The 20,852-nt window shown below is 34.6% G+C and overlaps 1 protein-coding gene across 48 annotated transcripts in view; it reads right to left on the reverse strand.

Moving 5' to 3' along the window:
• Nucleotides 1-20,852, reverse strand: part of PPFIA2 (PPFI scaffold protein A2) — a 501,376-nt gene that overhangs the window by 117,324 nt on the left and 363,200 nt on the right. For all 48 annotated transcript variants that reach the window (XM_024449242.2, XM_017020107.3, XM_024449240.2 and 45 more), the window contains 2 exons: nt 8,725-8,946; nt 498-644 (listed from right to left, as the gene is read on the reverse strand). In XM_024449242.2, the coding sequence (XP_024305010.1) occupies nt 498-644; nt 8,725-8,946 (369 nt within the window). The remainder of the gene's footprint in view (nt 1-497; nt 645-8,724; nt 8,947-20,852) is intronic.

Raw genomic sequence — 20,852 nt, forward strand, 5'->3', positions numbered from 1 at the left:
TTCCAATAAGACTTTATTAACAAGAGCAGGCAACCAACCAGCTTTGGCCCACGGCTATAGTTTGCCTGTTTCTGCTCTAGAGCCCAATAAACTTAGTATTCCATTATTGGCTCTGGTGTTTAGCAGATGTATGATCTTGGGAAAGTCTGACTGTCTCTGAACTGTAGTGTCTTTACTACAATAACGCCACCTACTTCATAGGTGGTGGTTAGAATTAAGTGAGGTAATACATGAAAACTGTTTAGCACAGATTCTGGCTCATGCCTATATGAAAAGTAAATCAGAGTCATTATTTGTATTACTATTAAGATAAATAATTTATCTTTCTGGAAAGTAAATTTCACACTGAAAATCGTATTTGTTTTGCTAGAGAATTTCAAATTTTAGAGAATGATTACTCAAACATCTGTCAAGAAGTACCCTATTTTATTTACTCCGTTTTGTGAGAATGATGAGAACGCACAGACCAGAAGAAAACCAAGACAGAGATACTGAACCTGCCGCAGGATAGCTTCTTTATTTGCTAACTCATTTTCTAGTTTATCATTCATGTCATGTATGGAGGTAGATTCTCTCTGAGCACTGAGGTAACGCTTTTCAAGGGTTGTAATTCTTTCTTCCATATCTTCCTTTTGTGCCATGGCCTACAATTAAAATAATTTAGAAAAAGCAAATCAGATTCTCAGATTGTTTAATTATTGTCTTGTTAGTTAAATAAAAAAGAAACATAAAAACTATTGCATTCTTGAAGTAAATACTCATTCCTTTCTTTTCATTGAACGAATGTGAGATTGCAGGTGCATGTTCCCAACTTAGCTATCAGAATTATTTTTGTATCTTCGGTTAACCAAAAGCTTTCTGCTGTCTAAGAATGCAATGGAGTAGCTTTTGAAACTCTCTACTGTAGAATTGGCATTCTTGTAAGACAAGTGGCAGATAAATTAGTTCATTATGCAGTAAAATTAAGTACAATAATGAGTAGAGTTGCAAATCATAAAATTGTTAAAATGGTGGCTACAGTTCTAAATTGTAAAGCAGTCTTCAAATAGATAACAAATACCATCCGTATTCTTACCTTTACATTAAGAAAGAGGAACTCTGTGGTTAAAAGGCCAGGCCAAAAAAAAAAATAGTACATTTGGATCTTATTTATAAGTTTACCAGCTGACTTAGAAACTTAGCCATTTACCTAGTTATATATGTTTCAATTACATAAGATTTTAAAGAAGTCCATGAACACATAAATATAGGAAAAAATCAAGTTCAAGTGGAGAAAATCATGGCATTGATAATATTTTAAACAGTAATTTTTAAATAATAGAATTTATAGATAGTAATATGGAGATAATTTTACCTCACAGCTTACATGGAAATTTATTGGTAGTTAGATAACCTACTTTATTGACAAGATGTTGGGTGAAAATCAAGTGCAGAAGTGAGGCTCATTGGCCTGGAATTGTTTCCTGAGAATGTGGGAAGCTTCTTTGTATAAGGATCCTGGAATTGAGGAAATGGCTATAGTTTCCATATCTTATTATCCAGAATCATTTCATCACTTATTCTTAATCAGTGCCTTTGTCACTCTCCTACAGGGTCCAGAGCCAGTCCTGTCACATATAATAATCAGATAAACAGACAGCCTTTCTTCCAATTTTCTTTCTTTTTTTTTTCAGATGATAACTCTAATGAAAAGATAGGTTGAATAAAAAGTAAAATAAGAAATAAAATAGGTAATGTCCTAATCTAATATAATAGCAAGACATAAATTTTGTTTAAATAAAGAGAGAAAATACCAGAAGTAGTGGATAAAAGGGTTGAAATTAAGAATTTCAGGGAAATGGGATGAAAACTTGAAGTGAGATGCTGTGTGTGTTTATACATGTACCATATTTATACGTGCCATTATTTGACTTTGAGAATTTTTGTATATATAAAAAATTAAAATTAATTAAAAAGTAATAGATCAGCCAGAGGCGATGGCTCACACCTGTAATCCCAGCATTTTGGGAGGCCAAGGTGGGCAGATCTCTTGAGGTCAGGAGTTCGAGACCAGCCTGCCTGGCTAACATGGTGAAATCCCGTCTCTACTAAAAATACAAAAAACTTAGCTGGGCATCATGGCTCATGCCTGTAATCCCAGCTACTCAGAGAGGCCGAGGCCTGAGAATCGCTTGAACCTGGGAGGTGGAGGTTGCAGTGAGCCGAGATCGCACCACTGCACTCCAGCCTGGGCCACAGGGCAAGACTCCATTTCAAGAAAAAAAAAAAAAGAAAAAGGAATAGATCCACCATGAAACTCATCATGTTGTCCCTAGTCTCCTGCCCACCCACAAGTTAGCTCTCTCTCTTGTATTTTTTGTCTTTTATTCTCCTTACTTTTCCTCCACGCTGCTGCCTGAGAGATATTTCTAAATGATCATATTGCTTCTTGGTTTCAATACTTTTATTTCTTCCCCTCCATCTTCAGGGTAAAATCTGAGCTACAAAGCCTGGAATAAAAGTGGTTTTGTGACCTGATACTTCCTTACTTCAGTGTACTGGGGCTAATAACATCCCCCCAAAATTCGTGTCCACTCTGAACCTGTGAATGTGACCTTATGTGCAAATAAGATTTTGTTGACATAATCAAGTTAAGATGAGGTCACACAGGATTAGGATAGGCCCTAAATCCAATGACTGGTGTTTTTACAAGGAGGGGATTTGGGGACACAGAGATATACCGGGAAGAAGGAGGAAGTCAGTCAGAGAATTGCGTTATACGGAGTTGTACTGCTACCAGCCAAGAATGCCAATGACTCCCAGTAACCATTAGAAGCTAGAAGGGGGGAAGAAGAAATCTCACTAGAGCCTTCAGAGAGAATATGGCCCTGCTGAAACATTGATTTCAGACTTAAAGCCTCCAAAACAGTGAGTGACTAAATTATGGTTGTTTTAAGCCACCCAGTTGGTGGCAATTTGTTATGGCAGGTTTACAAAACTAATGCACTCTGACATCATGTCTACCTGGAATGTGTGCTGTCTTCTTTGTCTAGCTCAATCCTACTGACCACCAAGACCCAGTCAAAAGCTACTTGATTAATTATGTTGACATTAAAGTGCAAACATAAAAAATTAAATTTAATCTATGAATTCAGCAAAAAATAGCCAGACTAATTTTTAAGAAATATTATATACATACTCCTAGATTTTAGATATCCTAAATAATGCCTACTATTTAAAAAGCTATTTATTTTCACTTTTGACTTTTTCTACTTTACATATTTTTTATCTCAATGATGGTAGAGTTTTTATCTTAGAGGATCTTTTCAGAGTGCTTAATATTGTATTCTGTCAGTTTCATTTGCAAACAGAACTCTGGGAAAATTTTGTGGTCTGAAGAGAAAAGTCTAAAGCTAACCTGTGTAAATAAACTTCTTACTAAATTTTAACAGCAATAAAGTCAATAAAAGATATACACACATTTCTCAAGAACGTGAGCACTGAAGTAGTACATACTTGCTCCAAATGCTAGTTTGGGACACTTATTAACTCTGTTATAAGGGATCAGTATTGGTCACCTTTTCCGTGCTTCACCTTCTTCATATATTGTGTGGGTTGAGATTCTAATATGTAGCACATAGCATTGTTGTTAAGAATCAGGAAGTGCTTTGTATGGTGTCTCATGCAGAAAACACCCTCGATAAATAATAGCTGTTATTTATTATTAATTACTATTATGTACACAATTAGATGATCTCACTCTATGACGTAGATTACATGCAGGAATTTTTGCATTTTGTAATTTTGGTACTGCATTTTTTGATTCAGTGATTCATGTGGGAGATTCAATTTTTAACTGCAGGCTGTGTTGCCAAAAATAAACTGGATTTACAAGTCAGAGAAATAGCTTTTCCCTCTGTCATTTGAAAAATTCTGAAAGAGGAAGCTTTTTCTAGTCCCTAAAACTTGCTACCTACAAAAAAAATGAGAAAAAATAAAGATTCAATGATCTCTTGACCTGAAGTTCATGTATAAATTGGATTTTGTTCATATTTAATAAATATAACTCTCTGGTAATTTAGATCTATTAAAGTGAAAAATATAACTACATGTTTCAGATAACAGAAAAGGCAACACTGAGATGTATTTAATTCATTTAATCACATAGTGAAATTCTGAAGAACTGTTAATAGGAAGTTGGAAATACAGGATGGTTTTATTCACAAAACAAAATGTAATTAAAATACTCCACTGAAAATTTTAGCTACTGGCACAGCTATGTATTTGATATATCATTATCCATACACAATTAATAATCCTTTTGATTAAAAACTGGAGAGATAATCCACTTGTATGAGATTGTCTATTTTTCTAATTTGAGTGCTGTGTCTAGCTTTAATCCAACTCACGTATTCTTCCTAGATCAAAATCAATTTAAGGAGTTTTGTTTGAAGACAAAATGTAAAATGAAATTAAATTTTGGATAATTTCTTTTTTGACAAAGAAAAATTACAAAAGTATATTCTGAAGCCATCAGTGGAACATATTTATAAATTAGATTGGTGCAAAAGTAATTGCAGTTTTTGCTATTCAAAGTAATAGTTAATTTTAGATACCTTAGAATGTCCTCACATGCAAAGCAAATTATATTTCTGTTTTTTATTATATGGTTGTTTTTTCTTATTTCCTAATTTTTACTCAATTATTACAACATACATTTATTACCTGTACAATTTATAAATCATACTATGCTAGCAATGCTATAGGAGTATCAAGAAAAACGAGCTTATTTTTTTCTACTAAGAAACTTGCAATCCGTGGCTTATGCCTATAATTGCAGCCCACTGGGAGGATGAGGTGGGAGGATCCCTTGAACCAGGAATTTGAGACCAGCCTAAGCAACATAGTGGGACCCTTTCTCTACAAAAAACACAAAAATTTTCCAGACATCGTGACATGTGCCCTGTAGTCTTAGCTACTCCAAAGGCTGAGGTGAGAGGATTGCTTGAGCCTAGGAGTTCGAGGTTGCAGTGAGCTGAAAACACTACTGCACTTCAGCCTGGACAACAGAGCAAGACTCTTTCTCTAAAATAAATAAATAATATTTTAAAAGAATAATTAAGAAAAGGAAAAGAAACTTGCAATCCAGTTGACTCTATGTGACCATAACCCGGAAAAATATTATTCAGGAAAATAAAAGCTTTAAGTGCTAAGTAATTTGTTTTTTAAGTACGTGATTTTCACATCTTCCTGCTTATTGAAAAAAAAAGATCCAAATATTGATTATTTAGAGGACAGTTATGTTGTAGCTTCATTTTATGATAGTTGCTATCACTGAATTATTTATTGTGCTGTGTTGATTTTGGAAGCAGTTCATAGTGGAAGAAGCACAGGTTTTGAAGCCATGCTGATCTTATTTCTCTTCCGTGCTGCCGAGGAGGGAACTGCATAGATCTTTGGCAAGTTACTTTACCTCACTGAACCTTGTGGGTCTCATCTGAGAAAAATGGAGATAATAATTAGCATTGCCCCTTTTGCCAGTTGTGAGGAATTTGAGACTTTCCATGTAATACACCCGTAATAGTTTTCACATGTGACTCGTCCTTAAAAAATCTTTCATAAACCATGGGCCTGGGTCTTGAGACCTGAATATTTCAGAATTCGTTTATTTAGCTTTCACAGTGCTGTGTGTGTGTGTGTGTGTGTGTGTGTGTGTGTGTGTGTGTATACAAAAAAAAAAAAGTGATGCATGCAGTAACGCAGGCTGAGTGTAGGCCATTTCACAGGTTTCATCAACGCCATCAGTTCCTACAGTCTTGCACCTGGCACTTTACACTTTTCCATTGCCAGCCTGGCTCTGAAAACATTTGTGTTTGCAACCTCCCTTCAAAGGTGGATGATGAGAGATATTCCTTTCTCAGGAAACTCTTCTAAAATATATACATAGAAACGATGGGGCTGATAAGAGTAGTTGTATTTTAAAATAATTCCACATGAAAGGAGAACGTTTTGCCCATTAGAATGGATTCTTAATAAAAGAACACCTGGCATCATAGGAGTGACATTTTCCATCTGACTGGGTGTTTTGTTACCTACATTCAGAGGCTATTAGTATCAAGGAGTTATTTTTAAATAGGCAGTTAGAAAATGGGGATTGAATGTTGGGCCTTACCTGTAAGTGATGCTGGATTAGATAAGCATTAATAGAGCAATGAGTACTAAGATGAAAGGAAATCATCTAAATCTCCAGGGCCAAGAGAATGAAGATGGAGAGAATGAACAACAGACCAAGAAGTGAGCCCGGTGATTTGATAGCCAGAAATCCTAGTAATTCCTTAACAGTGATACAGAAGAGGGGTTAAACTGCCTTTACTTTATGAATTCTCTGAGTTTGAATTGTGGGGAGTAGTGAAGAGAAGAGATGCATCCATGAACTATTATATTAATTCATAAAAAGTTGTATCATTATCTGTGCTGCAGTGGAGCAGTCTACCACTTCATGGTTCATCTATCTCTTTTTTTTGTTTTGTTTTGTTTTGTTTTGCTTTCAGGCATTGTCGTAGTACATATTCTGATATCATTCACACCTTCTGATATTTACTTATAAATATCTATTCTTTCAGCAAAGATTTTTTGAGTGCCTATTATACAATCAATAGCTGCGCAGGTTCTCTGAAGACAGCAGTGAACAAAACAAGAAAAAAACCCTAGCTCTTATAGATGTTTACGAATAGTTGGGGTGGGAGGCATATGATAACCAAGTATATCAGTAAAATATACATTGTGTCAGGTGATAGAAAGTCCTGTGGGATAAGCAAACAAAAGAAGAGGGAGAGTGTATATGTGTAAATAACAAGGTCAGGGGACATTTCACTGAGAAAACAACATTGAACAAAAGGCAGAGAGAAAAGAAAATGTAACAAAACAGGTCTGGCTTGCTTAAGAGGTCACTCCAGTTGAGCAGAGCATGTTAGGATGAGACAGTAGATGATCTCCAAGAGGTCAGGAAGGTGGTAGTAGAGAGATTGTACATGGCTTGTAGACCACTGTGAGGGTTTTGATAATAGTGTAAGTAGAATAGGTAGTCACTGAAAAGTTTTAAGCAGAAAAGTGACATGAACTGACTTATAGGCAGGCTGCTCAAGCTGCTGTGTTGAGCACAGACTGAGGTGAGCTGAACGCATGAGCAGGAAGACCAGGAAACAGATGACCATTGAAATAATCCAGTGAGAGAAAGTGATTGTGTAGAAAAAGCAAAAGCCATGAAGATTCTGAGAAGAGGTCCCATTATGAATACTTTGAAATTGTAAATAACAGGATTTACTGCTGAATCAAAGCAAGTGTGTGAGGGGAGAGATCTTAAGGACAGCTTCAAGATTGTTGGCCTGAGCAACAATAATAATGGATAAGGAAGACTGCAGGAGGGTCTGGTTTGCTGAGAAAATATCAAGAAAAGAGTCTGAAGTGCTAATTTTGAGATATCCCTTAGTGACTGAGAGAGAAACATCTGGAAATCAGGAAAGAAGGACAAGTTGGAGATATTAATTGGGAATCCTAAGATGATGGTGGCTTTTGGAGCCATGAGACTGCAGAAATTCACCAGGGAAATAAAGGTAGGTAGAGAAGGGAAGACACTCCAAGGTCGGGGAGGAGAAATAGAAGCAGTAAAGGAGCCTTCGAAGAGGTAAGCAAGTAAATACGGATGAAAACCAGAAGAGGATAATGTGCTATGAGCCCAGTGAAGAAGTCCTCTGGAAAATGGATCAAGTGCTTCAGAAGACTGAGAATTGAACCTTGGATTCAGTAACATGGAGGTCAGTAATGACTTTTATGAGAAGAGTTTTGGTGGAACAGTCAGGGAAAAAGTAAGATACAATTGGCTTACGAGAGAATGGGAAGAAAAGAATTGGACACATAGAATAGGGCCAACTTGATGAACAACTAGCTAGTTATATACAAAAGATACTTTTAAAAGATAAAAATACATTTAAAAGAATATGTAAAAATGGAAAAGGCAAAAAGTCAGAAAACGCAATTTCCACAAATATAATTTTCTTTTCAGTTGTGACTGAAAAGGTGAAAAAGTGAAAAGATTCTAAACTTTCACCTTAGCAGGTAAAATGATTTGACAGTGTTACAAATTAAACATCTCCTAGTATTTTTTTTTAGTAACTTAAAGTACTCTCTTCACTTGATATTAGCCAAGAGACTGAGAAATGACTAAAGTACTCATTTTTTTAAGTAGAAAAAGGGATGTTATGTCTAACAGGAATTTAATATATAGACAAAGAAAGGTCATGTTATACATATGCGTGTATATGTATATTAACAGAGATACATTCCCCTTCATGACACAAAACCAAAATAAGCAATGGAACAATTTAAGGCATTTTTGTAGTATTCCTATATGCTAAGAGTATAGCAATTCATGATTCATACACATATCTAGAGTTATTTAAAATTAAAAGCTTACATTTAAAAAATTTTATTAACAGCTTCAGAATGTCTTTGTTATATCTGACCCTTGATAGCACAAATTTCTTTCCATATATCATGGGCATTTAAAATGCTCATGAAGTAAACTATGTTTGCGCTATTGAACAAGTTTCATAACTAATATAATGCATGCCAAAGTATGGTCTTTTGAGAAGTAAAAAGTGTATGGTCATTACGGGAAATTATGGAAACAGTATCTCAGAAGCAGCATTCAGAAATCAAAGACTGAAAGTGGCATGAATCACTTACCTCCCTAATGTCCCTTTGATACTTGGTGTTCATTTCTTCTGTTTTAATGAGATCCTTTCTTGCTGTCTCTGCTTCCTGTTCCACCTCTCCCACTCGGGAAGAAAGGGCTGCTAAACGTTCTTTCATCTGGGCCATTTCATAGTTTTGCTTTTCAAGCAATTCTTGTAGTTCAACTATTTGACTAGTTTCATCGGTTGAGTCTATAGAACCATTGGACAAACGCTGCAGAAATAGAAAAAGAAATGGCACTTAAGAATTTTCATCTTTAATTTAAAATTTAAAATAAACTTAAAGAAATTAAACTGACACTGCTTTCACAGTGAGAAATAAGAAATTCTGAAAAGAACTAGTTTTGCCGAAAAACTAAGTTTCTAAGGAAACTGTTAATTGACATTAAAATATGAAGGTAGATCAGTAATTTTCAAACAGTTTAATAGATGTATTTGAAATATGCTATGCTATGCTCTCTCTATATATAAAACATAGCATAAAACATTGATGTATCCTAAACATTTAAGTGTTAGCTACTATTTTATAAATTAGATATATAATTTATTATTAATTTACAATGCTATGATATAACACCATACATTATTTTTAATTAATGGGTAAGGACCTATAAGGTGTACAATTTTAAAATTTTTCTTCAAGATCCCTTGTAAATTTTTAAGTTTTATTTTCAATGATGCCCAGAAGAATAACTTACCAAATATTTTTTATCAAAGATTATTCCTGCTGTGAATCTGACCTAGCTGGAACAAACATATAGTATAGAAAAGTTTTTATTTCTATATTGCTATTAACATAAAATCATGTGTGCACACAACTCACAGGAAGGAGGTTGAAAGGGGTTAAATATTTTGAGAGCTGATTTTTCTTCTTTCCGAAAGGACTGCTTAGAAACCAGGGTTTTCTAAAAATATGTCTTCAGAAGTATGCCCTACAGCTAAAGTCCGAAATATATAAACAACTCAAACAACTCAATAGAAAGAAAATAAATCCCCAGATAAGAAACAGGGAAGAGACCTGAATAAACATTTCTCAAAAGAAGACATACAGATGACCAGCAGATACATGAAAAAATGCTCAATACCAACAACGCATCAGGAAAATGCAAATTAAAACCACGATGAGATATCACTTCATACCTGTTAGAATGGCTATTAGCAAAAAGCCAATAAGTGTTGGTAAAAGAATAAGAATGTGGTAAAATGGAACCCTTGTATGCTACTAGTAAAAATGTAAATTAGTATAGCCACTACAGAAAAAGGTATGAGAGTTCCTCAAAAAATCAAAATTATCATATGATCCAGAAATCTCACTTCTGGGTATATAACCAAAGGAATTGAAATCACTGTGTGGAAGAGATATCTGCACTCCTATGTTCAATGCAAAATTATTTACAATAGCCAAGAAACGGAATCAACCTAACTAAGTGTCTATCAACGGATGAATGGATAAAAGCGAGTGTGGCATACATACACAATGAAATCCTATTCAGTTTCTAAGAAGAAGGAAATTCTGTCATTTGTGACAACATGGATGAGCCTGGAGGACATTATTCTAAGTGAAATAAGCCAGGCACAGAAAGACAAATACTTCTTCACCTCGCTTATCTGTAGAATCTAAAAAGTCAAACTCATAGAAGTTGATAGAAGAATGGTGGTTGCCAGAGGCTGGAAAAAAAGGATAGCTGTGATGAGTTAATGGGAGATGTTAGTCAAAGAGTAAAATAATTCAATTATACAGTAAGAATAATGGTCTATTACACAGCATGATAGCTACAGTTAATAATAAATAATACATTGCTAGAAGAGTAGATTTTAAGTGCTCTCACCACAAAAATGATAAGTGAGTGAGTGATGGATATATTAACTTGATTGAATCATTCCACATTGTATACATATAGCAAAACATTACATTGTAACTCACGAATATGTACATTTATTATTTGTCAATTAAAAAGTAAAAGGCCTGGTGTTGTGGCTCACTCTTTTAATCCCAGTGCTTTGGGAGGCTGAGGCAGGAGACTGCTTGAGGCGATGAATTTGAGACCAGCCTGGGTGACATAGCAAGGCCTCATTTCTAGAAAAAAATTAAAAAAAAAAAATAGGGTGTGGTGGCATGCACCTGTAGTGCTAGCTGCTCAAGAGGCTGAGGCAAAAGGATGGCTTGAGCCTAGGAGTTTGAGGCTGTAGTGAGCCATGATCATGCCACAGCAATCCAGCATGGGCAACAGAGCCTTACAACCTTTAAATAAATAAATAAATAAATAAATAAATAAATAAATAAATAAATAAGAAAAGAAAAGAAAGTATGGGCTGTATGTGGTGGCTGGCTCTTGTAATCCCAGTATTTTGGGAAGCTGGGGTGGGAGGATCACTTGAGGCCAGGAGTTTGAGACCTGCCTGGGCAACATGGGGAGACTCCAACTCTAAAAAATAGGAAAATTAGCCAGGTGTTGTGGCACGCACCCATAGTCCCAGCAACTAGAGAGGCAGAGGTGGGCGGGTTGCTTAAGCCCAGAAGGTCCAGGTTGTAGTGAGCCATGATTGCATTAGCGCACTCCAGCCTGGGTGAAAGAGTGAGGCTCTGACCAATAGTAATAATGATAATAATAATAATAATGATAAATAAAAGTATGCTCCTCAGCCTAGCTACTTTGGAGAAGTTTTGTAGTGAGGACGGTGCAGCAATTTGGGAGAAATAACTAAGAGAAAAAGAACATAAGTAGAAACAAAAAGTATGGAGAGAAAATACAGAAAGTACAGTCATTTCCGCTCATGTTTTCAGCACTTGTTTAAAAACATGAATTTGTTTCAACATGATAGATATATTATAAAACAATTTCAATGTAATGCAAATTTTTTTAATATGCAATTTTGTTCCTGAGAAGCACTGGCTAAATACAGAAAACCACACCTGGCTGAAACAAGCCACATAGGAACACATAAAATGCACACATGCCCATTCCTCAAATATCTAAAACTGACCTCAATGCCCCTTGTATGTCATAAATTTGCCCATCGACACCTGTGTTACAACTTTCTGATTTCAGATACCTTTCCTTCTACCACTTCACAAGAAATGAAAGCCTTTAAGTCTTCTAACACTTCTACAAGCAAACTTCAGCTCTTTCTCGGGGAAAAAAAAATACTTATCACTGTATTTGTGCTATCTCCAACTATTTAACAGGTGTAAAATTGTGCTACCATTTTTATTAGCTTTTTTACTTTTATTTTAATGTGACACTGATAAAGTTTTTAGTGTTGTGCCATAAACTTCATTACCCCCTTAAGCCCTGTGATTTTTATTGCACAATATTGCATAGTTCATGATATTTAGGAATGCAAATGACACATAGAGTAGAATGGACTATAGAAGAATGAGAAGAACAGAAAGCATCATGAAAGCAGTGAGAAAGATAAAACACAGAGAAAGGAAATGCAGGCAAATGGCAAGAAGTACTGTAAGTCCAATAACCTAAACAATGTGAGAGTGTGGAGAAATAGCTGAGAGAATCAAAATTAAAAGAGCAGAGAAAGATAGAGACAATTGCCTTTTTAAAGTTGACTAGAGGAATTTCTCAATGTGAGAAGGTAGAAGTTCTAATAAATCTTATGGTGGTCTAGTTACTTGTAGACTTTATACAGGATTTGAAGATATTTAAAATTATGGCAAAACCCCTCTAAAATCAGTTATCATACCTCAGTTATCTCAAATTTGGAAATAACTGACTGGCAATTGGTTCCACCCATCTTCCCTAATCCAGATCTTGGGTGCTGCCTAATGATTATAAACTGGCCTTTCTGAGTTCAGTGTACAGATAGTTGTGTACTGTAGAAGTTCACAATTCCCTCCCTCTAAGAGCAATTCCCAGAGAAATGTTCAGCTCTGATCCTTCAACCAGCAACATTTCCAGCAGAAAGGGGAATACAGACTCTAAAGGGAAATGTGATTAATGAACTGCAGTATGCACTCCAACATTCCCACATATTCGTAGCAGCACTTACCCCTTTTATTAAATAGAATTTGGCACCCAAAATACAGGAGTTCTATGTTCAGATATGGAATGATATCTTCAAAGAATTAGGTCTGTAGATTCAACTTGTATCTTAAGAGACAATTTAGTAACCAACAGGGATTCCTTGGAAATAACGTTTACATACTATAAATAAAAGTACAATGCAATCATGCTAAATAATTAAATTCAAACACACTTCTTAAAAATAGAAGAAACTATTGTACTCTTGGGGTAAACAAATATAACTTGATATGCTTGTACAATGAAAACAAACATATTACTGATCTCTCCAATACAATGAATGAATCACAAAAACATTAAGCTGAGAAATAGAAAGTAGATACAAAAGAGTACATAATGTGTGATTCAATTTATTTGAAATTCTAGAAAAGATCATCCTAATCTATCATGGCAGGAAAACAGATTGGTTGTTGCCTGGGCTGGGAGTTGGAATGGGGGAGGTGGGGTTGACTTCAAGGGGGCATGAGAGCACTTCTAAGGTTTATGGGGATGTTCTTTATCTTGATTTGGGTGTTTACGGAGGCACATATATTTATCAAAATTGACAGAATTGTGCACTTAAATTGTATGTTACTTGTACATTAATACATTTGCTTAAAAGCCTATAAAAACCTTGAAAAACAAATTTTTATTTTGAAAAATGTTTCATAGAATTGAAAAATCATATTTAAGATTCTAGAGCTCTGAAGAATTTTGGAGAAACTGAGACTCAGGTAATCACATAGAGGTGATCTGAATTAAAATGCAGAACTTTTATTCCCAGTTCAGTTAATTTACGCTTTACCACATTGCCTCTAATCAGAACATATAAATCAACAGGATAAAATTATATATGACGCATGGTATAGGCATGTACCAAGCAGGTACCAAGCATCCACACACCATTATATATATATATATCACTCACACACCCCAAGCCCCAGACAACCACTAACTACTTTCTGTCACACAGATTCGCTGTTCTGGACTTTTCACAGAAGTGGAGCCGCTGAACATGTGTTCTTTCGTGACTAGTTTTATGCACTGAGCATGATGTTTTTGAATTTTATTCAATATTTTATATATATATATATATATACACACACACATATATGTATTCAGTGGAGTTTATATATATACACATATATTATATATATATAATATTGATAAATATTTATTTGGTGCAAATGAACGATATTTATTTTCTAATTTGAAAAATGTTTGTTCCAATTCTGTGCACCTGCGCTCCATTAAAATCTTGTTAATGCACTTAACAAGAAAATTGCATACTTTTAAATGGGCTCAAGGTAAGAGAAATTTAACTAACTATAGATAGTAATCAGGCAATTAAAATAAAACGCTTTTAAAATGTTAACTTTTTAAATTCCATTAAGCAGTAAATGTTCACTGCATAGTCTTTATGCTACTGTGTTGGGATTACCCATGAGGAGATTTTAAAACTCTCAATTTTTATTCCATAGTGTTTATGAAACTTGCATTTGCAGAAAATATATAATCTTTTATTTGTTCTCATTACCTTAAATAGATTGTATCGTGAGCTTACTGTGTGTCTTAATAATATCAGAATAAAAAGTCATATTAAAACTGTGATTTATATCTTAGAAAAAGATCTTGTTTTTGTTCCAAACCATTGTTAACTTGACTTACCTTTAAAATAAATTGTGGCACTTTAATTTAAATGACAAATGGCTGTATTAAAAGTCAGTACTTATTTTAAGCAGCTCTACTGGGATATAATTTACACGCCATAAAACGCACCCTTTAAACATAAAAAGTTCAGTGGAGTTTAGTATACTTACAGAGTTGCGCAACTATCAACATTAGTTAATCTCACATTTTTTCACCCTTAGTGGAAATCTTATAATTATTAGCAATCACTGACACACCCCCAGCCCCAGACAACCACTAACTACTTTCTGTCATACAGATTCGCAGTTCTGGACTTTTCACAGAAGTGGAGTTGCTGAACATGTGTTCTTTCGTGACTAGTTTTATGCACTGAGCATGATGTTTTTGAATTTCGTTCAAGTACCGTAGCATGTTATCCACACCTCATTTCTACATTGATGAATAGTATTCCATCATGGGGATATATTACATGTTATTTATATATTCATCAGTTGAGGGACATTAACGTTGTGTCCACCTTTTGGCTACTATAAATAACTGCCGTGAACTTTTGTGTATAAGTCTTTATACGGACAAATGTTTTCAGTTCTCTTGGATCGATTCCTAGAGTAGAATTGATGGACCATATGACAATTCTATCTTTAACATGTTGAGGAAATGTTTTCCAAAGTGGTTGCACCATTGTACATTCCTACCAGCAATGTATGAGAGTTCTAATTTTCCACATCTTCACCAAAACTTATTATTGTCTATCTTTTTATTTCAGCTATTCTAGTGGGTGCAAAGTGATATTTCCTTATGGTTTGGATTTGCATTTCCTAATAACTGATGAAGTTGGACATCTTTTCATGTACTTATTGTTCATTTGTATATCTTATTTGGAGAAATGTCTATTTAAATTATTTGCCTTCATATTAATTGATTTACATGTATTTTTATTGTTGATTTACATGAATTTTTTACATATATTTTGATTCAAGTATTTTATGAAACATATGGCTTGAAAATAGCTTTTCTCTATTCTGTAGACCATCTTTTCACTTTCTTTCATGATAGTATTCTTTGAATTTCAAATGTTTTTAATTTTAAGAAGTTCCAGTTTATCATTTTTTTTTCTTTGTGGCTTGGGCTCACGGTGTCATTTCTAAAAAATCAATCCCCAACAGAAGGTCATAAAGATTTTCAATTTTTTAAAGCAGTACAAGTATATATTTGAAATTATTAATGATCAAATACAATGGTGTCTCATATGTTAAATTTTAAAATATATATTTATATTTACTCATTCATCAATATTTATTAATCACCTACTTTGGTGTCAAGTGGAAGATAATAAGTTTTAGAATGTTTTAAAAGGTGATAATACTTTTCTGACATCAAGGCAATTCTATCAAGCAAAGAAGTAATACACAAATAGGCAAGGATATGCATTGCAATAAAGTATTATCATAAAGTTTTATTTTGCTTCATATTTATGTGTGGGAGCAGAAAGCAGAGAATATCTTTGTGATATCCTTTGAGTTGGGTCTTCAAAGATGAGTTATTATATTTCAAGTAAAGGAAAGGAGGGGAGTACTTATTCTAGGAGCAGAAAATAACATGAGCAAAGGGAGGGGGATATCCCTGAAGAATAATTGTAAGTCGTCCTGTATGCAGAGCAGAAAACATGTGCTATAAGGAAATGGTAAAATATGAGACTTGACAGGGAAGGCCAGCATAGATTACGATGGCCTTTGTTTTTCCATACTGAATAGAATAAACTTTGGGTACCAGATAGAATGACAAGGAGCCATCAAAGTTGTTTGAACAGGGAAGTAACATGTAAAACTGTGCAAGTAAACTGTTACTCTGTCATCACAAACCCGGTAATTCAGATAAAGCCATTCCTATCTGTAATGGATAATTTTTGCTTGTTTGTTCAATATCCTCACAGCTAGGGTTGCCAGATGAAATATAGGATGTACAGTTAGATTTGAATTTTCAATAAACAATGAAAAACTTGAGTGTAATGATGTCACATGCAGTATTTGGGTCAAGCTTATACTAGGGGAATTGATAATGAAAAGAAAGCATTGAGCTAAACCCTGCAATACAAGCATAAATCATGCAGTTTTCTGGCAGAGGAAACAGAAAGATCAAAGACAAAGTGACACAAGTGGGTTTAGGATTTTCAAGGAGACCATTGTAGCTAGAATGGACTGGACTAAATAAAGCAAGAGGGTGGGAGTGGATATAGATGGAAATATGATGTGTGTTCTTGAGATCATTTTAAGACTGGCTTTTGCTCAAGGTGATATGAAAACTATAGGAAGGTGTTGAGCAGAGGAGTGACATGATTTCACTTACATTTTCGATGGATTCCTCAGTCCTCTTATAAAAGACAGGACAAAAAAAGGAATTTAAGAAAATGAATTAAGAGGTGAAAAATTACGTTGGCTTAGACCAGGGTAATAGGACTAAAGGTTATAAAAGGGGTCATATTCTTTGAATGGATTGAATATGATATGGGACAAAAAGCATAGACTCAAGGATGACTGCAAGATTTGTAGTCTTCGATTAGAAAGATGGAGTTGCTATTTTTTGAGAAGAGAAAATCTGTAGGAGAAGCAGATTTGTGGTTAGGATGGGGCAAAATCCTGGACTGGGTTTTGAAAACAATGTTTGAAATGACTAATTAGATGTCAAAATAAAGGTGTCAGGCAAGCTATTGTATAAGCCCACAGTAAAGAATAGTGAATATATGGATGTTTTCTGCAAGCAGCTATAACATTGGATGAGATCACCTGTGGAGTGAAGTAGGGGGTCGTCAAAGATGACTAATAACGTCTTTGTAGAACTCTCTTCAATTGTTACTTTATCAGAAAGGCCTTTCACCCCTGCCATATTATATATTTACAAAATATGTTTGTTGTCTTTCTCACCTACCAAAATATATATTCCTAAAATTTTTATCTCTATTAAAAGTTTAAATCTTAACTTATATATTATTGTACATTCAACTGCAATACAATTTTCACACTTGGCTGTCAAACAGACTTTCCAAACTCAATATGTTTAAAATCTGTGTTCAGAACGTGCTTCTCCCCCAAATATGTTTTGCTTTAATTCATCCCCAACTCAATTAGTGAGAACTTCACTTTTTCACTTTCTCCAAAAACGGTGGAGTCATCCTTGAGTTCTCTCTTTTTCTCCCATCTTTTATACAATCTATGAGAAAAACTTGTTGGCTTTCTTTTCACAAAATATGTGAATGTGACCCACTGTCATGACCTCCACCATTGTCACCCTTGTCTGGGTCATCTACTCTCCTTTGAATTACTGTAACAATCTTGTAACTGGTTCTTTTTTTCTAACCTTGTTTCTTATTTTCATTCTTATAGCAGTCAGACTGATTCATGGTGATCCTGTTACATTGCAGTTAAGTGAATATTCCCATGATAAATGTTAATAATTATCAGAAATATAAAAAATAGCTAGGTCCCACATTACAGCATGAAATAAACATGTTAATGATTGATAGAGAAAAACATTCATCTGTGAAATTCTTACTCTGTATAGTTTGAAGAGATGAGAAGTGTGTATATTGAGTTTATTTTGTGTATATTGAGTTTATTTTTTTCTTTAGAGAAAGTCATCAAATTGAAAGCTTTCAAATGTTTTGTTGCTATTGTTGTTCATCTATAAAATAAAGAATCAACACTAGAGTGGATCTTTCTTCCTGGATGAATTACCAAGTAGTCCTTTTAGATGTGTAAATATAAGTCAAGTAGGCTCCCACATCCCAAGGAAGAATATTTAATAGAACCCTGACAAAAAGTGTCTCCTCTACTGTGTCTTGATATTAAGAGAGTGGAGGAGGAAGATATTTGACATAAACCAGGAAACTTCAGGAAGGAGAGGAAAAAACAGATTGCTCCCCTTTCAATTGTGAAGTTCAATGTTTTTCTTAATTCTCTGGTAGACTGACAATTGACTAGATCACAAGGAGTACCAAGAGTCCACAAAGAGAACTTACCATGAGGGAAGTAAGAGTATGAATTTGAACTATGGTCCAACACCCAGTGGTGGTTCTGGCATGGAATCTGAAAGACCTTCCTGGCTCAGTCATCTTGATGAATTTGGGAACATGAGTATGAACCTAAACTTCAACTGGTAAAACTTGGAGAATGGAAAATTCTTCCTGAAGAATCACTTTGGTAGAGGTTGTCACTACTGCTGGTGGAACTAGTTTGGAAAAACTAGGCCATTTATTGGCATAAGATGGTTTAATTTGGCCTGTATGACAGTGGGTTATTGCAGTGGTGCATGGATGGTGTTGGATTTTGAGGGAACACTTGTTTCAAAAGTGATACTTTGAGGGCTAAAAATATGCAATAGCAGTTTTTTAAAAATTTACTCACTTGTTACTTTATCACATTTTCCAGTTATCTTTTCATGAATTGTAAACAAACAAAAAACAAAAACAAACAATCAAACAAAAAAATTCCTTTTTGGTCTGATCAAGTTTTGAAAGTTTTTAGATAACTTAGGCAGAACAACATTGGCCCCAAGAGGCTGGTACCAGACTTACTGTTACTTGGATTACTTGGGCTCTTATATATTTTAGATAGTCAAAAAAGAGCTCAACTTGCCTGTATCCAGGTCACAAAAATTATGTATGTAAAGGATTAATGGTAGGCATAGAAATAATGAACACTAATCAAGTACAACAGAGTTTAATTTATTTTCTATTTTTAAAAATTTCACTTCTGTCAGAGAATCATGCATACAAAAAAAAAATCAAGTTGTTTATCCCTAGGAAAAGAAAAACAGTTCCAAAAGAATATGTGCCATCATTCTCAGCAAACTAACACAGGAACAAAAAACCAAACACCGCATGTTCTCAGTTATAAGTGGAAGTTGAACAACGAGAACACATGGACACAGGGAGGGGAACATCACACACTGGGGCCTGTCAGGGTGTTGGGGGCAAGGGGAGGGAGAGCATTAGGACAAATACCTAATGCATGTGGGGCTTAAAACCTAGAGACAGGTTGATAGGTGCAGCAAACCACCATGGCACATGTATATCTATGTAACAAACCTGCATATTCTGCATGTGTCCCAGAAGTTAAAAAAAAAAAAAAACTGTCCATGAAATCCACTACTTTTGAAAGATGAGTATATTGTATTCTGAAAATACTTCTTAGCAAACTTGTAAATGAAATTCCAAACCTGATAAAAGCTATCTACCAGTTACTATGATAAGCATCACATTAATGAATAGCATTATTATTAAAGTCTATACTTTTACAAGCTTTATATGTCTTGGACAATAACAATAAATGAAAACTGAAAAGGAAGAGAAGAGAAAAGTAAATCCTCCCAATCTGTGTAATTACTTAGAAAATACCAAGAGTATAGCAAACTCTTAGAACTAATAGTTTTGCAAGTTTGCTGTAATCCATATCAATATTGGAAAATCAATAGCATCTTTATATGCCAGTATTAATTTATTAGGAAAAACATATAAAGGAGATAACAATCACAGTAACTATAAATGCCTAGAAATAAATCTAATCATATATAAGATCTCTATGGGAAAAATTAAACAATTTTATTGAAGAACATAAAATAATACACAAATGAATGGAGACATAAGCCATATGTACACATGGTAAAACAGTATACAATAGAGGCAATAACTTCCCGAAGTTAATTTATTAATTTAAGCAATTGCAGTAAAAATCTTGTTGGGGCACAGAAAACGATTCCCCCAAATATGACTTTGGCTTGTTGAGCGCTTTGAAAATTGAAAGGCCTCAGAAATAATCCTTAGAACCAAGATCTGTCTCTGACCTTCCTCTCCTCCCTTTCTCTCTCTCTCTCTCTGGAATTTCCTTATCTGACTGAAAACACTTCTTTCCACAAGGAATGTAATTGTCTCAAGATTCCCCTCTTCAGGAATCCTGTCAGATTAACCACTAGAGAAGAGCAGAAATTGGGAGTCGTCATGCCAAGACAGATTTATAATCTGTTCTTCAGAGGACAGCTCCCAGAGATTACCCAGGGGACTTAATCTGCAATAATAAAGCAATATTTATTCCTGCACAGTCTTTCCCCTTACTTTCCTTTAATTTGTCAGTCCCACCCAGCTTCCAAAAAGAATCATTTGCAAAATGTCTGCCTCCTGAATCCATACATATCTCCTATGTCGAGAATATTTAAGCATCAGCCCTCTGGCCCCTCTTCCAGTCTAATACATTGTAAATGGCAGTTATATCCATATGCGTGTTAAAATAAGTTTTGTGTGCCTTTTTTCACATTAATCTGCCTTCCCTCAATTCATTTTCAGCAAACCTTTAGAGGGTGGAAGAAAATTTTCTCCTTGGCCCCTACAATCTCAACAGAGTTGAAAAATGGAATTTGAAAAGTTGATATTATAATTAAGCTCTAAGAATCAAGATTTATAAAG

This window comes from Homo sapiens, chromosome 12, assembly GCF_000001405.40.
Source record: "Homo sapiens chromosome 12, GRCh38.p14 Primary Assembly".
NCBI classification, from domain to species: domain Eukaryota; kingdom Metazoa; phylum Chordata; class Mammalia; order Primates; family Hominidae; genus Homo; species Homo sapiens.